At 40.8% G+C, this 19,549-nt stretch overlaps 1 protein-coding gene and 1 pseudogene across 5 annotated transcripts in view, besides 2 other annotated features; one reads left to right on the top strand and one right to left on the bottom strand.

Annotated features, from left to right (window-relative positions):
• The window catches only part of GLG1 (golgi glycoprotein 1), a 159,675-nt gene that overhangs the window by 46,561 nt on the left and 93,565 nt on the right, over positions 1-19,549 (top strand). The gene's annotated exons all lie outside the window — the stretch shown is intronic.
• Positions 2,796-2,996: a silencer, noted in NCBI's record as "peak2638 fragment used in MPRA reporter construct". NCBI's record gives its function as "represses an SCP1 promoter by STARR-seq MPRAs in K562 erythroleukemia cells {active_cell/tissue: K562}" and the evidence as "EXISTENCE:reporter gene assay evidence [ECO:0000049][PMID:32103011]".
• Positions 7,512-8,013: an enhancer, noted in NCBI's record as "H3K4me1 hESC enhancer chr16:74586439-74586940 (GRCh37/hg19 assembly coordinates)". NCBI's record gives its function as "activates a minimal SCP1, AML or CMV promoter by ChIP-STARR-seq in naive H9 embryonic stem cells {active_cell/tissue: H9 hESC(naive)}" and the evidence as "EXISTENCE:reporter gene assay evidence [ECO:0000049][PMID:30033119]".
• On the bottom strand, positions 7,762-8,340 carry RPS10P23 (ribosomal protein S10 pseudogene 23; annotated as a pseudogene).

The following is a 19,549-nucleotide window of genomic DNA, read 5'->3' as shown; positions in this document are numbered from 1 at the left end:
CTGGCCAACATGCTGAAACCCATCTCTACAAAAATACAAAAATTAGCTAGGCTTGATGGCAGTCAAGTTACTAGTTACTGCGGGGGCAGGGGGGCGGCGGGGGGAGGCTGAGGTGGCAGAATCGCTTGAACCTGGAAGACGGAGGTTGCAGTGAGCTGAGATCGTGCCATTGCACTCCAGCCTGGGCGACAGAGTGAGACTCCGTCTCAAAAAAAAAAAAAAAAAAAGACAAAAACTGAGGTCCCAATTCAAAGCAGTTAGGAGGAAATCCCCCCTTTCTTTGATTCTGGAGTCCTGGGGGAGCTTCAGCCTTTTTGTTCTATTCAGACCTTCAACTGATGGAATGGGACCCACCCACATTGGGAAGGACAGTCTGCTTTGCTAGTCTGCCTGTCCAAGTGCTAATCTCATCCAAAAACAGCACCGTAGACCCACCCAGAACAATGTTTGGCGAAACGCGTGTGGCCCAGTGAAGTTGACACAAAAAATTAACCATCATCCTCATAAAATACCTAGTACAATCTGAATAAAATGTGTACCATTGTTGGTTCTTTAGTTGTGACAGATTGCACTATATAAAGTAAGCTATTAACAATAGGGGAAAATGAGAAGGCATATGGGAACTCTGTGTGCTGTCTTCTCAACTTTTCCATTAAGTCTAAAATTCTCCAGTGGTTTATTTTTTAAAATAATAAATTCAAAATAAAATTATGTTTTAGGCATGTTACATTTTAGGTGACAGTGGACATTCAAAGTGAATACATTAAGAAACTGAAAATACATATGTCAGAAGGCTGAAGATGAAAAATGAAGTCTTCATCAATAGAGACATGATACGAAGACGTAATCTCGGTGGGAATGAGTAATGAAGAAAAAGCAGGCAAAGAATTAAGTTCTAAGAATGTCTAGAATTAGAAGGGAAGAAGAGATCCAAGACTATCTGCATATTTCACTCTCTAAAATTAAGATGAGAGAGGTTTGAGGAGGAGAGAGCCTGGCCTAAAGAGGACAGAGGATTAAGGAAGAGTTATATTTTTATTTGACTGTATTTGTGTTGTCCCCTGCCCCCCCATCGCCCCTCCTCCCCCAGCCTTACCCTCACCTTTTCTAGAGACAGGATCTCCCTCTGTCACCCAGGCTGGAGTGCAGTGGTGTGATCATAGCTTGCTGCAGCCTCAAACTCCTGGGCTCAAACGATCCTCCTGCCCTCAGCCTCCTGAGTAGCTTGGATTACAGTTGCACACCACCATGCCCAGCTAAGTTTTTTTTTTTTTAAACAGCAGGAAGCCTAAAGATGGGTAAAAAGGATTACTTCTGATAGTAAAAGTCATATGAAGCAGGAAATAAGGAAATGTACTCAGATACCTCGTTTAAAAAATAAAAGGCCAGGCCCAGTGGTTCAGGCCTGTAATCCCTGTACTTTAGGAGGCTGTGGCAGGAAGACTGCGTGAAGCCTGGAGTTCATGACCAGCCTGGGCAACATAGCAAAAAAATCTAAAAAATGAGTCACACATAGTGGGATACACCTATAGTCCCAGCTGCTCAGGAGGCTGAGGTGGGAGAATTGCTTGAGCCCAGTTCTGGGATGCAGTAAGCTATGTCTGTGTGACTGCATTCCAGCCTGGGTGACGGAGTGAGACCCCGTCTCTAAGAAAATATAAAAAGTAAAAAGAAGATGTACAGTCTGTGACAAAATAGGTAATAGAATTAGGTTAAATTTTATTTTATTGTAAGCCATAATTAAATGTTTGAAGACAGATTGAAACATTTATCTGCCCTTCTCTTTTCTTCTGACTATTCTAATCCACCATGAAACTCGTAGGGTCAAAATAGTTAATATAGGAAACTTTCCGCATCCTTTGGGGGTAAGAAATAAGTTACAAAAAAATTTTAAAGCTAAAAATAAAATTGGAGATTTCTTCACATTTTCTAAAAATGTCTTAAGGTTCTCAAGTCCTGAAATTTACAAATGTGTGTGTATCCATGGAAACATGGGCGAAAGCCATGCAGGTTAAAGTCAGACTCAAATGTTGTAAAGCAGGTGCTCAGCGAGTTAACAAATATTATAAAATCCTAAATTATACTTAACCTTTTTGGTATAATCTTCAGTAATACAGTTCAAACATTTGTGCACACACTTTCATTTTATTATCCATTATTCATAATTGAGCACATGGAAGGCTGGCTTAACACCTGAAAGCAATCTGTTACATTGAGATGCTTCTTTTTGCTGATACTAACACTTGCATTTTCCCCCAAATCCAATAAAATACTCTAATAATTTCACAGAGATGCATCAATGTGGTGATACTGCCAAAAGTGAAATGTTGGTGAGCCAGTACCACCTTCACTCAGTAGCTCAAAAGTTTGTCAGCTGGTGAACACAAAATATAAAATCCACATTGAAAAGCCTCTTAGGTACATAAGTATATAATATATGAAAATCAGACTGTGAAAGTTGAAGACCATCTGTGAATAAAAATGCAAATATTTTAAATTTTTAACTACCTACAGTTTCAGGGTTTTACTGCTTTCCTTATGTGTGTGTCTAGCATTTAAAATTTTTCTATTTTGTTCAGCATATGTTCTTTACAAATGAGTGGTATGTCTTCCATAAAAAAGGACTCATTATCCCCTCAGCACAATCTTCAAGACAGGACACTTTCTATGGCCAGGCCTGGTGGCTCACGCCTGTAATCCCAGCACTTTGGGAGCTGAGGCAGATGGATTACTTGAACCCAGGAGTTGAAGACCAGCCTAGAAAGCATGGTGAAACCCCAACCCTACCAAAAAAAAAAAAGACACACAGGACACTTTCTACCAAGGAACCAGCTGGCTGCTTCCAGATAGCTGCACCAGACTTCTTTCAGATGCTTCTGGGATATGGTCTTCTGACCATGTTCTTTAGCCTCCTTTGCTTCCTGTTACCTGCTCAGTCTCAAGAGCTCCTGACTCAGGCTTTTGGTCTGTTTTCCTGAAATCTTCTGCGTCTGGACTAGTATCTGAATTAACTATGCCTAGAGTTTTGGCCTACTAGTATCTGCAAAGCATTCTCACTTCCACCTGCTCACACTCTTGGGCTAAGTGGTCACCCATAAGTAAGCCTATGCTCTGGCCCCTCCCCAGACCTAAAGAGAGCTTCTTGCCTCTCCCCAGACCTAAAGAGAGCTTCTTGCCTATTTTGCTATCTAAAGACCTCTATGATTAAAATTTTCCTTTAATTGAGTCTCACAGCTTTACTTCAGCACACTTACTATTACATAGTAATGGATAAGCAGGAAATAAAGATCTACAAAAGTCAAACAAATCATATATAGTTATAGAAACATTTGTAATATTTGAGGTAAGGATTTACAAAGCTGTTTTATCAAAGGTCCTGGGTTTCTTCTAGTTTACTTAGCTCTTTATACAATGATTGTAATAACCACAAACTTTTTGCTAACCCCACACCAATTAGGGGTGCTGTTGAAACTGGTCAGATGCAAAAATATAAAGATTCTTTCTACTGCTTATCTTTAATGTATGGGGAGTAAATCTTCCTCCTGCCAAATTATAAAGTACTTCACTGTTCCTGAGCAGTGAAAATTAGAATATATTTTATTTATGAGAATGCATTTAAATAATTGCTGTATTATTTAAAAGCTATATTATTAGAGTTGTTCTTATCAGCCTACATATGGAAATAGTCTGTAAACAGACTGTTACACAGTTTCAGCTATTCTCTTACTCATTGGCTAAAGACTATTAGGTTGTAATAATAATATTATTTTATATATTTTTATTAGTAATAATATTTATTATAATATATATATTTGAGACAGAGCAAGACCTTGTCTCAAAATTATGTATATATAAAATAATAAAAAAATAATAATATTATTCCAACCTGCCACCCAGGTTGGAATGCAGTGGTATAATCCTAGCTCACTGCAGCCTCTGATGGCTAGGCTTAAGCATTCCTCACACCTCTGCCTCCCCAGTAGCTGAGACCACAGGCATGAACCACCACGCCCAGCTGACTATTTTATTTGTAGAGGCATTGTCTCACCAGGTTGCCCCAGAGTGTATTAGATTATTTTGTGTATAATCTGTATATTTCATACTAAAGTTGGTTTAAATAAATTGTTTGGGTTAGCCCCAAACAAAACCAAAAATTTTATGGAAAGAGGTCCATTTTTCCTAGTCAAAGAACTTTAAATTTTCTAGTAAAGTATTTAAAGTCATGATTTATTGTAAAATGGTAAGATAATCAATAGCTACTTACTGTTGCTTGTTTCCAGCACCTAACTGTATATCTTATTGTAATGGATCTTTCCTGTAGGACTATTTCACTTTGTTATAGTAAGAGTAAGAGGGACATTTTGTGATTTAGGAATTTGTAATTAACTGTTAACTGTAATATAAAGTAGGCGATTTATTCTTACCAGTGGCTCATGCCTATAATCCCAGCACTTTGAGAGGCTAAGGTGGGAGCATTGCTTGAGCCCAGGAGCTGGAGACTAGCTCAGGCAACATAGTGAGACCCTTCTCTACAAAAAAATTAAAAATTGGCCTCATGTGATGGCATGTGCCTGTAGTCCCAGGGATTCAGGAAGCTGAGGCGGGAGGATTGCTTGAGCCCAGAAGAGTGAGGCTGCAGCGAGCCATGATCGTGCCACTACACTTCACCCTGGGTGATACAGCGAGACCAAGACCCTGTCTCAAAAGAAAAAGAAAAAAAAAAAGATGAATTATCACCAGCTATAATTGTCTTTGTGTGACTTAGTGACTTGATTTTTCCACAGAAATCTTTTAAATCTTAGGCTAATTGTTCCTGAAACCCAGCATGTTTCTTTTCTTTCTTTCCTTTTTCTTCTTTTCTTTAGAGACAGGGATCTCTCTCTGTTGCCCAGGCTGGAGCACAATGGAGGAGTCACAGCTCACTGTAGCCTTGAATTCCTGGCTTAAGTGATCCTCCTGCCCCAGCCTCCCAAGCAGCTAGGACTACAGGCACACACCACCACACCTGGCCAATCTTTTAATATTTTTTTGTAGAGATGAGGTCTCTCTGTGTTGCCCAGGCTGGTCTTGAACTCCTGGGCTCAAGCAGTTGTCTTGCCTCAGCCTCCCAAAATGCTGGGATTATAGGTGTGAGCCACCGCACCCAGCCTGGAATCCCATTTTAAATGTACTGATGGAGTTGACAATGTCAAGGAAACTTGCGTTAATTTTTAAATTTTGTTTTTTGTGTAGTGGATCCTTTCACAACATGAATAATTGCCCAATTTTATGTTCTGTCAATCTAGGACAGACCACTAGATAAGACAAGATTATAATTTGGGGAGTTGGCTTTCTTGATCAGTTTTCAGTGAAGGAAAAGTTACAATTTGTAAACTTATTTTTAACACCACCATAGTGATCATTTGATCAGTTTGTGAGAATGGCCCATCTGGTGGGTATCTCCAAGCACAGTTACAACTGTTTTTTCTTTTTTCCCGTTTTATCACAAAGTCTTATAAACTGAAGGCAATTATATGTTTTTATTATTTATTTATTTTAGACACAGGGTTTTGCTCAGTCGCTCAGGTTGGAGGGCAGTGGTGAGATTATAGCTCATTGCAGCCTCAAACTCCTGGGTTCTGGCAATCCTCACACCTCAGTCTCCTAAAGCACTGGGACTATACGTGCATGCCACCATGTTTGGCTGCAGTTACATCTTTTTATGTTAGTGTGTGATCTTTATTTGGGCATCTGTCAGTAGGTCCACTGTTGAACAGAGAACTAGTTAAAGTGACAAACAATGATGTCATTTGCTTTGCAAGTTGAGGAAATGAATATTAATTAGATATATCCACCAAAATGTAATTTTATTCATGCACTTTACCAAAGTTCCTTTCTATACAATAGTTCTTTTCTTGGCTGTTCATTTTCATCGTGATTTAATGAAGTCCCATCTGCTCAATTTAAGTGACCATCTTACATTTAGCCAGAATATATTGAGAAAAGTGCTGGAATCCCTCTCATTTTTTTATTTTTCTTTTTTGAGATGGAGTCTTTTTCTGTCACCCAGGCTGGAGTGCAGTGATGCAATCTGCTCACTGCAACCTCTGCTTCCTGGGATGAAGTGATTGTCCTGCCTCAGCCTCCCGAGTACCTGGGGTTACAGGCGCCCACCACCGCGCCTAGCTAATTTTTGTATTTTTAGTAGAGATGGGGTTTCACTATGTTGACCAGGCTGGTCTGGATCTCCTGACTTCAAGTGATCCGTCCGCCTCGGCCCCGCAAAGTTCTGAGATTACAGGCGTGAGTCACGGCGCCTGGCTCTCCTCCCATTTATTGAGGAAATCCTGTCTTAAATCATTTTGTAACAAAGTAGGGTTTAAATAAATAATTCTGAGGAATTGTACACATTGTATTTTTTTTTCCTGACTGATTTTGTGCGAAAGGTAATTCCCTAGTTATCTCCCATAGATGACTATATTTTGTGTTGTACCTGGTTCTTAAATACTCAGTCACTGAGATTTACTTAGGCCATGGTTGAGAATGTTGAAAGCTTACGCTTTGGTTGAGAATTTTAAATGATCTCATAAATCTAGATTGACAAATTGTATTTTTGCATATGTGAGTTGTGCTATTGTCAGATAGCTACTTCTATTAAAGAGCTGATTACCAAGTTATGGAGTTTGGATATGCAGTGAAAATTCAGCTTTTAGAAGCCACAAGAAGACCAAAATGATAGCAGAATACAATAACTGAAGTTGCAACTGCTATGAAGTCTATACTATTTTAAAGAATGTTCCATGGCCTGGCACGGTGGCTCAAGCCTGTAATCCCAGCACTTTGGGAGGCCGAGGCGGGTGGATCACGAGGTCAGGAGATCGAGACCATCCTGGCTAACATGGTGAAACCCCGTCTCTACTAAAAGTACAGAAAAATTAGCCGGGCGTGGTGGCAGGCACCTGTAGTCCCAGCTACTCGGGAGGCTGAGGCAGGAGAATGGTGTGAACCCGGGAAGCGGAGCTGGCAGTGAGCCGAGATCGTGCCACTGCACTCCAGCCTGGGCGACAGAGCGAGACTCCGTTTCAAAAAAAAAAAAAAAAAAAAACCGAAACAAAACCAAAAAAAGAATGTTCCAGAAAATTGCCATTTATTTATCTAATATGTACTGTTAAGCTAGAATCTGTCAGAATAGTCAAATTTTGAAGAAAATAGTAGCCGAGCATGGTGGTGTGCACCCATGATTCCAGCTCCTTGGGAGGCTAAAGCAGAAGCATCACTTGACCCCAGGAATTCAAGACCAGCATGGGCAACATAGCGAGACCCTGTCTTTAAAAAAAATTTTTTTTTTTTTTTTTGAGACAGAGTTTGCTCTTGTTGCCCAGGTTGGAGTGCAGTGGCGTGATCTCAGCTCACTGCAACCTCCGCCTCCCAGGTTCAGGTGATTCTTCTGCCTCAGCCTCCCGAGTAGCTGAGATTACAGGCGCCTGCCGCCACACCCGACTAATTTTTTGTATTTTTAGTAAAGACAGGGTTTCATCATGTTGGCCAGGCTGGTCTCAAACTTCTGACCTCAAGTGATCCGCTCGCCTCTGCCTCCCAAAGTGCAGGGATTACAAGCGTGAGCCACTGCGCCTGGCCAAAAACAAGTTTTTTTTAAAAAAAGTAAAATAAGGGCCTGTGACACAACTGAACTTCAATATAAATTGTTTCCAAAACTAGGGAAGACATTCAGAATCAAACCACAGGTTAAACACTGGCTTAAGCAGAAGGACCTGCATTTTTTTTTCTGTCTATAAGTTTATTCAATGCAAAATAATCCTCTCCAGTTTTACTGAGGTCACTGACCACACCCACAACCAAATCTGCTTCTAAACTGGAATTTGGTTGCTGACCCAACCCCAGCCTCGGCTTTCTCATCGGACCAGGGGACACAGCACTCTGTCTGTGGGTGTCTTTTGGCTTCCCCTTTTGTGAGCTTTGCGGGTTGCTCACCCTCCAGACCTTTAGGCCAAAGCCTGCCAGTCTCTGGATGACTGTGGTATAGGGTGGAAGGCACAGTCTCACGGGGCAGATGGAGGTAATCAGAGATACTGGATACAGTCGTTGGTAAGGTACCAGTAGAAATGTCTCCAGACAAACCGTTCCTTCATGTAGCCTTAAGACTTGAGAGACTGCATGGCCTTCATGATGTGAAGGTTGGGCACATTCTTGTCTTCTGCCAGGTCTGGGTACTTAGGAAGGTGGACATCCTTCTTGGCCACCATGACTCCCTCCTTAAAAAGGAGTTCATAGATGGCAATCCCGTTCTTCTTAGGCATCAGCATCTTGGTGGCTGCAGGGCCCAGGTCCGGGGCTGGAGAGACCTGCAACTTAACAGAGATCGCATCTTCCAAGTCAGGACATTTGAAGGAAGAGATGCTAATCCATCCCGTAGAAGACAATATTGTGTCTCTGGTAAATGTTGGATGTGCTTTTGATTACTCAGAAAAATTTTTATATAACCTATTTTCCACATCCCCCAAACTAGATCATAGCAGTGGGGCTTAAAGGGTATGCAAACTTCAAACTTTTTAGATTAAACTTAACTCTTCGGTAGGAAAGGTGAAGGACTGGTAGGAAAAGGAAAACTAGAAAGATATTTGCCGTTTTCTTCCGTTTATAATTAACTCCCTATTCTAGACTACCTTCTGTTGTATCTACTTGGACTAATGGCGAAGACGTTTAAGGATCTGCAGGTGCAAAAAGTATCTTAAAAAGATACCTTCCCCACTTCCCTTCTCTTTCTTCTCCCCAGTAATTCTCCTTGTACATTTGAAATGGGCTGTATGACATCATCATAGCCTTTGGTAATGACACCTAAAGGCAGGTCCCCCTCCCCCCATACACTGACACCCACACCTCTTCCCAAATTAGCCAACTGACACTTTAAAGTTGTATTTTCTTTTATTTAAAAAAAAAAAAATAAGGGCTGGGCATGGTGGCTCATTCCAGCACTTTGGGAGGCCGAGGTGGACAGATTGCTTGAGCTCAGGAGTTCGAGACCAGCATGGCCAACATGGCAAGACGCCCGTCTCTACTAAAAATTAAAAAAAAAAAAAAAAAAATAGCCAGACATGGTGGTGTGCGCCTGTGGTCCCCAGCTATTTAGGAGGCTGAGAGAGGAGGATTGCTTGAGCTGAGGTGGGGGTTGGGGCTAAGGTTGCAGTGAGCCGAAATCACACCACTGCACTCCACCCTGGGTGACAGAACGAGACCTTGTCTCAAAAAATAAATAAATAAAATAAGATATAGCACTTGCTTTATATGAAGCAGTTCATAAAACCCATTTTGCCAGCTCAGGACTAATGAAAAACTATTTTTATTATGTATAATTAACCTAATTTAGGAAAAAGAAGCAGACTTACGGGAAAGGCTAGCACTGAGACAAGGAAGCTCAAAAATTGCTTTCCTGAGATTAGTATTACCAGCCCCAGTATAGCATTTGAAATTGTTATTAGAATTCTTGAACCTAGTTGCTCAAATCTAGGGCTGAGTTTGTAAGGGTTAAATAAGTTGTCCGTTAGATTCAACATGAATATTTCCAGGGTTGCTCTAACTTCAGACATTAGATCAGCTTATTTGATAGGCTGGAGGTGTGTTATTGTACAAAATTTGGAATGGTGGCTCGAGAGGAATAAGAGATTCCATCCCACTGATACTGCCTCTCAGCTTCTCACATCTACTGCCCTTGTTCAGCATTATCAAAATGTAGCATTCCAAAAGCTGTTTCTGTATATTTCACCTTTATATTTATAGTATCACTAAAAAAAGATTTCATTTAAATCTCTAAATTTTTTTTTTCAGAAGATTGCTGCCAAGCTTGTCCCCCTCTTGACTTTTGCATCTTTGTCTTATTTCACACACTGAGAACAGTTACCTAATTGAGTCTTAAGATTATAAAATCCAGTATAAAAACATCTTACAATTAAAAAATACTCTTTAATTTAAAAAATTATGTTTTAAATTTAGAGCTTATCACGTTTCATGGCCCAAAATAGCACATTGAGTTTTTGGCATCTTCTCGCCTGCCCATGCCAATGAAAGCCACACCATATGGTATGACTGCTGTTACTTTAGGAAACCCACACACGGCGGACACATTGCCAGGCATGAAGCTGAGGCTCTGCTCTCATATGCTTATCTTTGTAAGCCAACATATTGACCAGGATATATTAGGATTCCAGTACATCATGGTCTTCTATCAATTGAGACTTCGAGCTCTTTCTCCAACAGCTTTAACATTTGGCCACATAATGAAAACACATATTCTAAACATCATGGACTCTCTTACTCAACTTCAGGAAGAAGCTTTTGAATGACAGCTGCAAGAAAGGAAAGCACAATCAATAAGTATTTTAGTGCCCCTTAAGTTCTAGCACCCGTCCACCACTGTGCCCTTTCTTTTTATATTATTTTTATTTTAGAGATCTTGCTCTGTTGCTCAGGCTGGAGTGCAATGGTGTGATCATGGCTCATTGCAGCCTCAACTTTCCCCAGCTCAAGCAGTCTTGTCCTCTCAACCTCCCAAGTAGCTGGGAATACAGGTGCTCCCACCACGCCCGGCTAACTTTTTTTTTTCTTTTTGGCACATTTGGGGTTTTGCTATGTTGCCCAGGCTGGTCTTGAACACCTGGGCTTGAGTGATCCCCCTGCCTTAGCCTCCTACAGTGGTGGGATTACAGGCGTGAGCCACCACGCTCAGCCCCTTTTCCTGTTGTTTATTTTCCATTTTATAGAGCAGTCATTTAGTTCATTGTGGACTTCATCCAAACTTTTCTCAAGGTTATAAAATTACTATTAAGGCTTTTTAATATAAAATTAGCAAATTCTCCTGAAAATAAAAGGTGTACAGATTTTGTTCACCAGCTTTGTCTAGTCATACTTGGAGCAAATATTGAACGTGCTATGCTAGCTGTGCTAGGCACTATGTATAAAAAGATGGAGAAGACTGGCCAGGCGCAGCGGCTCACGCCTGTAATCTTGGCACCTTGGGAAGCTGAGGCGGGCGGATCACGAGGTCAGGAGATCAAGACCATCCTGGCTAACACAGTGAAACCCCGTCTCTACTAAAAATACAAGAAGTTAGCCGGGCGTGGTGGCGGGCGCCTGTAGTCCTCAGGAGGCTGAGGCAGGAGAATGGCGTGAACCCAGGAGGCGGAGCTTACAGTGAGCTGAGATTGCATCACTGCACTTCAGCCTGGGCAACAGAGCAAGACTCCATATCAAAAAAAAAGATGGAGAAGACAAAATTCCACCTGCAAGGAATATGTAAACAGGTTATAATACAGTACATTACTTTACTAGAGAGATAGAAAGCATACTGTGGTCATATCTTGAAGTGACTCATAAAATTAAACTCAAAAGGAAAATATTAAATTTTTGCAGAAGTGCTTATTAGTGTTATTGCCTGATCCATCAAGAAATGCTTAAAGCTCAGAGAGGAATGTATAAGATTGATTCATTGAACCAACATTGGTTCATTTGCTGATTGGCAAATGACTGAAAAATTAAGTGTTGTTTGGTATTACTATTATTTTTTTTTTGGTGATGGAGTCTCTGTCACCCTGGCTGGAGTGCAGTGAGGTGATCTCAGCTCGCTGCAACCTCCACCTCCTGGGTTCAAGTGATTCTCCTGCCTCAGCCTCCTGAATAGCTGGGATTACAGGTGCCTGCCACCACGCCCAGCTAATTCTTCTATTTTTAGTAGAGACGAGGTTTCACCATATTGGCCAGGCTGGTCTTGAACTCCTGACCTTATGTGATCCGCTTGTCTCAGCCTCACAAAGTGCTGGGATTACAGGCCTGAGCTACTGTACCTGGCCCTGTTTGGTATTATGTCTAAGAATTGATCATCTAATAGTCTTATGGGAATTTTTAGAGAATTGAGATTTAAATTGAGGCTAAAAGTCCTGAAAAATTGTCCACGAAGGAAGTTGTTTGGGAGAAGCTGTTGATGTCAGTTTGACCCCAGTAAGCTGTTTTTGGAAGCCTAGATGTCAGATTTCTGTCAACCAGATAACATATGGAATGCCAGTGAATGCCTAGAATTGTGTGGTAGGCCAAGCTGTGGTTACTGCCTTCAAAGAACTTTCTTAAATATAAGTGTCTGGACTGTTATCTTAAGAAGAAAACTTCTGCCAGAGGCTACAGAGGTTCTGTGATCAACCAAGGATTTTTCATTTGAATTCAGATATTTTCGGGAAGAATTTAAAGATAGCTATAATTTGGAGCCAGATTTATGCCAGCAAAATCATTTATGCCGTTGCCTGCTTTGTGATGTTATGGTTTTACCAAGTAAGAATTGGAACACAGGTTCAGAATACTTATTTTCTGGTGTCCTATGGCAGATATTTTTAGAATGCAGAGCAGCTAAAGTGCTCGTTGTGAGTCAAGTTCTTACCCAGAAATAGATATTGACTATTGACTTTACAAAAAAATAGTAGCTGGGCTTGGTGGCGCACGCCTATTATCCCAGCTACTCGGGAGGCTGAGGCAGGAGAATCGTTTGAATGCAGAGGTGGAAGTTGCAGTGAGCCGCGACTGAGCCACTCTGCTCCAGCCTGGGCGACAGAGCGAGACTCCATCTCAAAACAAACAAACAACTTTGGATTTTTTATTTCTGAATTCTTCTGTTCTGAAAATACTGTTTTAAGCCATCATCAGTGGATTAAATGAATACTTTATATCAAAAGGATACAGCTTTTGGTATCAGAGACAGTGGAAATGATCCCTCTATGGAAGTGGAAATTTGTCACAGATGTCAACGTTGTGAGTTGGTGATTATGCTATCAGAGTTTGTCAGAGGGGTTTGGAAAGATAGGACTCTAATTTTTATGGGAGAAAGGTTGAAAAAAATGTATTTTTTCTCTCTTCATCATAGCTCAAATTCAAAGCACTTTCATTCAAAGCATTTTCATGCAATTAATGATTGGCTTCTTCCAAAACATAGCACAAATTAACTGGTAGAACAGGAATTAGAATGAACAATTCCATAGTCTTACCCTGTGAGTTGTTTCCTCACTATTCCAAAAGAATGCTAAATGTGAAAAAATATATACTTTGTCATAAATAGAAACTGAGCCTTAAGCCAATACACAGATGCAAGACACTTTTGTTGTGTCTGATCTATTTTGGAGGCAATTACTTATGTAAGCTAGATCTGCTTAATCTTAAATTCTAAAGCGAAATGTGATTAGTCATCTTTGGAAAAAGGATCTACTCTTCATTTTTTCTGTTTTTGTTTTTCTGAGCTTTAAGGACAGGATGTATAATTGTATTAAATAAGTTATTGGTAAAGTAAGGAAAAGATCGATGAGGTGATTTACATTTATAGAAATTGTTTTTGTTTAATTGAGGCACTACCTCTACATCCCCCTTGGAGGCAAGGGAACACAACAAAACCAGAAAAGTTTAGGAATTTGTTATGGCCCCAAAATGATATAATAAAAGACTGTCTTAAACCAGGGAAGTCAACTTCCTATTCTTATGCACCATTTCTTTGTTCTGGAAGCGGGGACAGTTCTAGCAACCAGTTGAGTAAATTATTTTGCTAGGTCTAGTGTTGTGATCCTTTGCTCAGTGATAAGCCTTTGGGGAAGGAAGGCTTCTCTCTCTTTTCAAACTTCATTAAAATGGTGGGTCCAAATTATCACATGTTACCCACTTCTAGTCAGGGATCCTTTTTTTTTTTTTTTTTTTGAGATGGAGTCTCACTCTGTCGCCCAGGATGGAGTGCAGTGGCATGATCTCAGCTCACTGCAACCTCCGCTTCCCAGGTTCAAGTGATTCTCCTGCCTCAGCCTCCCAAGTAGCGGGGATTACAGGTGCCTGCCACCACGCCTGGCTAACTTTTGTATTTTTAGTAGAGACGGGGTTTCACTATGTTGACCAAGCTGGTCTCAAACTCCTGACCTGAGGTGATCCGCCTTGCCTTGGCCTCCCAAAGTGCTGGGGTTACAGGTGTGAGCCACCACGCCTGGCCTAGTCAGGGATCCTTCTAATCATAAATTCTTACCTTTGTTTATGGCCTACACTAAAGTTTCAGAAGTCTTAAATCAAAGCCTTGTATTTTATTTAATTAATTAATTTGTTAAGACAGAGTCTTACTTTGTGACCCAGGCTGCAGTGCTGTGGTGCGATCTCTGCTTACTGCAATCTCTATCTCCTGGGCTCAAGCGATCCTTCCACCTCAGCGCCCCCCACCCAAGGAGCTGGGACTACAGGCACATGCCACCACACCTGGCTAACTTTTGTATTTTTTGTAGAGACAGGGTTTCGCCATGTTGCTCAGGATGGTCTGGAATTCCTGGGCTCAAGCAGTCTGCCCACCTCAGCTTCCCAGAGTGCTGAGATTACAGGCATGAGCTACAAAGCCTTGTGTTTTAGACATTAGATTTCCCAGTACTCTCCTGAAGAACAGTAATTATGATTATGAAGATTTCAAAGATACTATGGTAAGATCTGATCGTCTTTGAAAGAATTATAGTAATGTAGCTCAGGACTTCCTTTTATACTGCTTTGTACTACCTGTTCACAGGTGACTGTCAGGTGATTTCAGTAACAAACTCAGACAAATGCATGACATTTAAACTGAGTTATTGAAGTCATTGATCTTGCTTTATTAAAGTTGACCGGTTGGTAACAAACATTTACTTTTACAAAATTAATCAACATGAGTTTGATGTGATGAGAGAATTATATTGACTGGAAGTGGTAGGCATGAAACATTTCCTAAGTAAAACTTAGAAAAGAGACCTTAGTTAACCAATACCCTCTTGGTTTGTTTGCATGTTAAAAGATGTCTGCATCTGAGCAGTTGAACTTAAATATAAAGTTGAGCTCAGATACAAAGGTTCTTTAGAACTTTAAAAGACATGGGTGAACAAAACCCAAACTAATCCTCTGATGTTTACTTAGAAACAAAAACCTAAATGAAATTCAAAATAGATATCTGAATTTAAATTTGTGTATAAACATTAGATTGAAAGACTAGGGTCTGGAACAGACAGAAATTCCACACATACTTTTCTGGGCTTCGAAAACTTGGTGGAGTGGGTCAGGCATGGTGTGGCTCATGCTGGTAATCCCAGCACTTTGGGAGGCTGAGGTGTGTGGATCCCTTGAGCCTAGGAGTGCGAGACCAGCCTGGGCAACATGGTGAAACCCCATCTCTACAAAATACACAAAAATTAACCAGGTGTAGTGGCATGCACCTGTAGTCCCAACTACTAGGGAGGCTGAGGTGAGAGGGTCACTTGAGGCTGGGAGGTTGAGGCTTCAGTGAACTGAGATTGTACCACTGCACTCTAGCCTGGGTGACAGAGCGAGACCCTGTCTCAACAAAAACAAGAATACTTGGTGGAGTGATTTAAATCCTGTTTTTCCATTAGGATTAGATCTTTCCACCAGAATTTCCTGAATTTATTCCTTTTTTCTAGTTTATCCTAATGTGATTGATGTAATTTAAACCGAAGTTGCCTTCCTGTAGCCAGAATCTACATATCTGCAAACTTATTCCTGAAGTTGAGGCTTTAATAGAACACTTCTTTTGTATTTTTTTCTTATTTTTGAGATTGATTTATTTTGGGATTGGGGCAATGCAGAATTAACACTCTTCTAGAAGTATGCAATAATTATTATTATAATTATAGATTATATTTATTACATACTTACTACTAGCATTGTGCTAGGTGCTTTAAGTATTTTGCTCCACTTAGGCTTACAGATGTTAAATAATGGCCGGGCGCGGTGGCTCACACCTGTAATCCCTGCACTTTGGGAGGCCGAGGTGGGAGGGTCACAAGGTCAAGAGATTGAGACCATCCTGGCCCAAATGGCCAAACCCTGTCTCTACTATAAAGTACAAAAATTAGCTGGGCGTGGTGGCACGCGCCTGTAATCATAAGACTAAGTAAGGCAAGAGGGTCGCCTAAACCTGGGAGGCGGAGGTTACAGTGAGCCGTGATCACGCTATTGCACTCCAGCCTGGGCAACAGAGTGAGACTCCATTTCAAAAAACCAACCAAACAAACAACAACAAAAAACAAAATTAGCCAGGCTTGGTGGCACATGCCACCACGCCTGCATGTGCAGGAGATTCTCACACGAAGCAGGAGATTCGCGTGAACCTAGGAGGTGGAGGTTGTGGTGAGCCGAGATTGTGCCATTGCAGTCCAGCCTGGGCAACAAGAGTGAAACTCTGTCTCAAAACAACAAAACAAAACAAAAACATGTTAAATAATTTTTCCAAGATCTTGCAGCTAGTACCTGGAAGAGCCCAAATTTGTTCCCAGATCTCTTTCCAAAATTTGTGCTGCATAGCCAGACCTATAGATTGTATAGTAATGAATGCTTAGAAGTACTTAGGAGTCTTCTTTGTTTTTCCGTTAATGGAGATGAACATTCTTTATTAGGGAGCTAATACATTTTCAACCATTGACATACCTATGAGATGTTTTAAAACAGTAATTCTAAAAGGATCTGCATCTGTTCTGCCCATCTCCTTTCACTTCTCCAAGCCATTTCTATAACAATATTTTCCCTTCCTTGGAAAGGTAGTCATCTGTTTTTCTGGAATCATATTAGATTTGCAATCAATTGGAGTCAAGCTGTCTTGCTTTTTATCCCATCTCCCCCCTATTCTCACTGAAGCACAGGGAATTAGAATTTGTTCAGGTCGTGTGGTGATCACTGGCTCAGGTGGAGTACCATCAGCAGGATTCTCCCGGTCTTTTGTACTTTGTACTTTGTTTTCAAAATCAGTTAATTTCATAACAGAAAATTAGCACTTTAAAAGGCACAGATGTGATTTGGAGATTATGGGTAATTTTTAGATTGCATCTTTGTTAATATTTAGATTAGTTTATCAGTATTTCCCAAACTATAATATAGTTTGATATAGTGGTAATTATTGATGTATACCTTTTTTCTACCAACTGTAGAATGATGTTATCTAAGCAAGAAGAAATGTAGGGACTTTTTGAGGATTTTATCAGATTTTTATGCACATTACTAACATTTGCAAACCCAGAAGATTTCAGTTTTTTGTCTGTTTTTTTAGAGGTAAGTTCTCACTGTGTTGTCCAGGCTGGAGTGCAGTAGCTATTCACAGGCTCTAACATAACACATTACTGCCTCCAACTCCTGGTCTTAAGAAAGCTGTCCACCTCAGCCTCCCAAGTAGCTGAGACTGCAGGCATGTGCCACTGAGCCTGGCCTGATTCTGTTTTTAAAATATATTAAATTTTTTTCCCAATTTAGCCCTGGTCTCTTTCTTTGAGCTACGCATCTTTCAGAATTGTGCAGTGAAGTGTGCTGTCTTAATTCAGATGGAAGTCCACTTCCTGAATCCAAGCTGTACTCTTCAGAAGCACCAGTAATTTGCACTGGGTTATACAGAAAGAGTTCAGCACATTCTGGCAGCTCAGCCCTATTTGCTCTTGCTTAGGCCAGTTCAAGTAAACAATGCACTCACCACGGGTCAGTATGGAAGAGTTGTGGCATGTGCAGGTACTCGGGTCTGGGGTGTGAGAAATTATATTTAATTTCAGGACTTTTTTGCATCATGTAATCTTACATCCCTCATTTGTATTTTGTTTTCAAAATTATAGAAGTAACAAAGTTGGATTGGTAGTATGAGCTGCATTGACAGAATCATTCCAGATTTACTGGTTGTAAACATTAATGGTATTGTCAGATGTCTGGAAATTTTTTCTTTTAGTCTAGTTTTTCCTTCCTTCCTTCCTTCCTTCCTTCCTTCCTTCCTTCCTTCCTTCCTTCCTTCCTTCCTTCCTTCCTTCCTCCCTTCCTTCCTTCCTTCCCTTCTTCCCTTCCTCCCTCCCTCCTTCCCTTCCCTTTTTTTTTTTTGACAGAGTTTCGCTTTTGTCACCCAGGCTGGAGTGCAATGATGCAATCTCGGCTCACTGCAACTTCCGCCTTCTGGGTTCAAGCGATTCTCCTGCCTCAGCCTCCCAAAGTAGCTGGGATTACAGGTACCTGCTACCATGCCCAGCTAATTTTTTTGTATTTTTAATAGAGATGGGGTTTCACCACGTTGGCCACGCTGGTCTTGGAACTCCTGACCTCAGGTGATCCGCCCGCCTCAGCCTCCGAAAGTGCTGGAATTACAGACGTGAGCCACCGCGCCCGGCCTAGTCTAGTTTTCTTCTTTGCATTTGGCTATAGTAGCTACTGATTTGACAAATTTGTACCTTTGTTCAGCTGTTCCAAATCATGTGACAGGGCAAAGAAAGAATATAAAAGGATGCCATATCAAAGTTGATAATTCTGTTCATTATTCATACGGTGCCCTTCAGATAATTTTTTTCACCCTGCATTCTAAAACTCCCATGTAAAAGTTAGCTATACTATTCAAACCAGATCATCAGATGGTTCATGTGCTTTTCTTAGAGTAGAACTGTCAGTCTAGGACTCTAAGAGGGCAGATTGCTACCTGCTGTGTCCCAGAGGATGTAAATATATATTTCCTCCCTGCCACCACCCCTTTGAAATAGACAGTGGAAGGGGGAAAAATAGGAAAATATGAACTGGGAAAATGTATCATTAAACTCCCCTGCTTTCCCAGTCATGAAGATGTATTCTAAATATTTTCTGAGGTGTCTGTGTATATCCTAAACTGGAATGACCTTTTTTTTCCTTTTCTTACACATGGTATAAAAATTTTAAAGTGCAAAGAGTATGTAGTAAAAATAAGCCTTTTTAGGTATCCTTTCAGAAATAACCTATACACATACAATAAAACATGTGTGTCATGTATTTTGAATTCTTATTCTTTGCCTGTATGAAGCATGGCCTCTTGGATAGCAGTAACGTTTTTGTTGTTTAAAATGGTTAGATTTTATACAGAGAATGAAAGGCTAGTGGTCGCATATATTTGCAAAGCCTTCTATAATATTTGAAGGCCTTCTACATAACTTTTCTCCTGATGCTTATAATAGCCCCATGAGGTAGGTAAAGCAGGATTTACCTCTTTTATCTACACAAAATTTGAAGCTTAAAGAATGTTATGTGATAAATGTGCAGTGGAACTGGAATCAAAACCCAAGTCTTTGGCTGTTATTCCAGAATTCTTGTTTCCATTTTGCCTCTCAAACATGATAGCTTGAGGGGATCCGTTATCTTGTATCTTCTTTTATGAGATGTGAAAAATACCATGAGTAGCTGATTTTAGACTTTTTTTTTTTTTTTTTTTTGGAGACAGAGCCTTGCTCTGCTACCTAGGCTGGAGTGTGGTGGTGTGATCTTGGCTCACTGCAGCCTCTGCCTCCCAGGTTCAAGTGATTCTTCTGCCTCAGCCTCCCAAGTAGCTGGGACTACAGGCATGCGCCACCACGCCTGGCTAATCTTTGTATTTTTAGTAGAGACAGGGTTTCACCATATTGGCCAGGCTGGTCTCGAACACCTGACCTTGTGATCTGCCCGCCTCAGCCTCCCAAAGTGCAGGGATTACAGACGTGAGCCACCACACCCGGCAGAAGAATTTTTATACTGTATTTCGGTAGTAGTAGTGTGG

Source organism: Homo sapiens, chromosome 16, assembly GCF_000001405.40.
Source record: "Homo sapiens chromosome 16, GRCh38.p14 Primary Assembly".
Taxonomy (NCBI): domain Eukaryota; kingdom Metazoa; phylum Chordata; class Mammalia; order Primates; family Hominidae; genus Homo; species Homo sapiens.
Note: the sequence above shows the minus strand (reverse complement) of the source record. Positions and strands in the feature narration are given on the sequence as shown.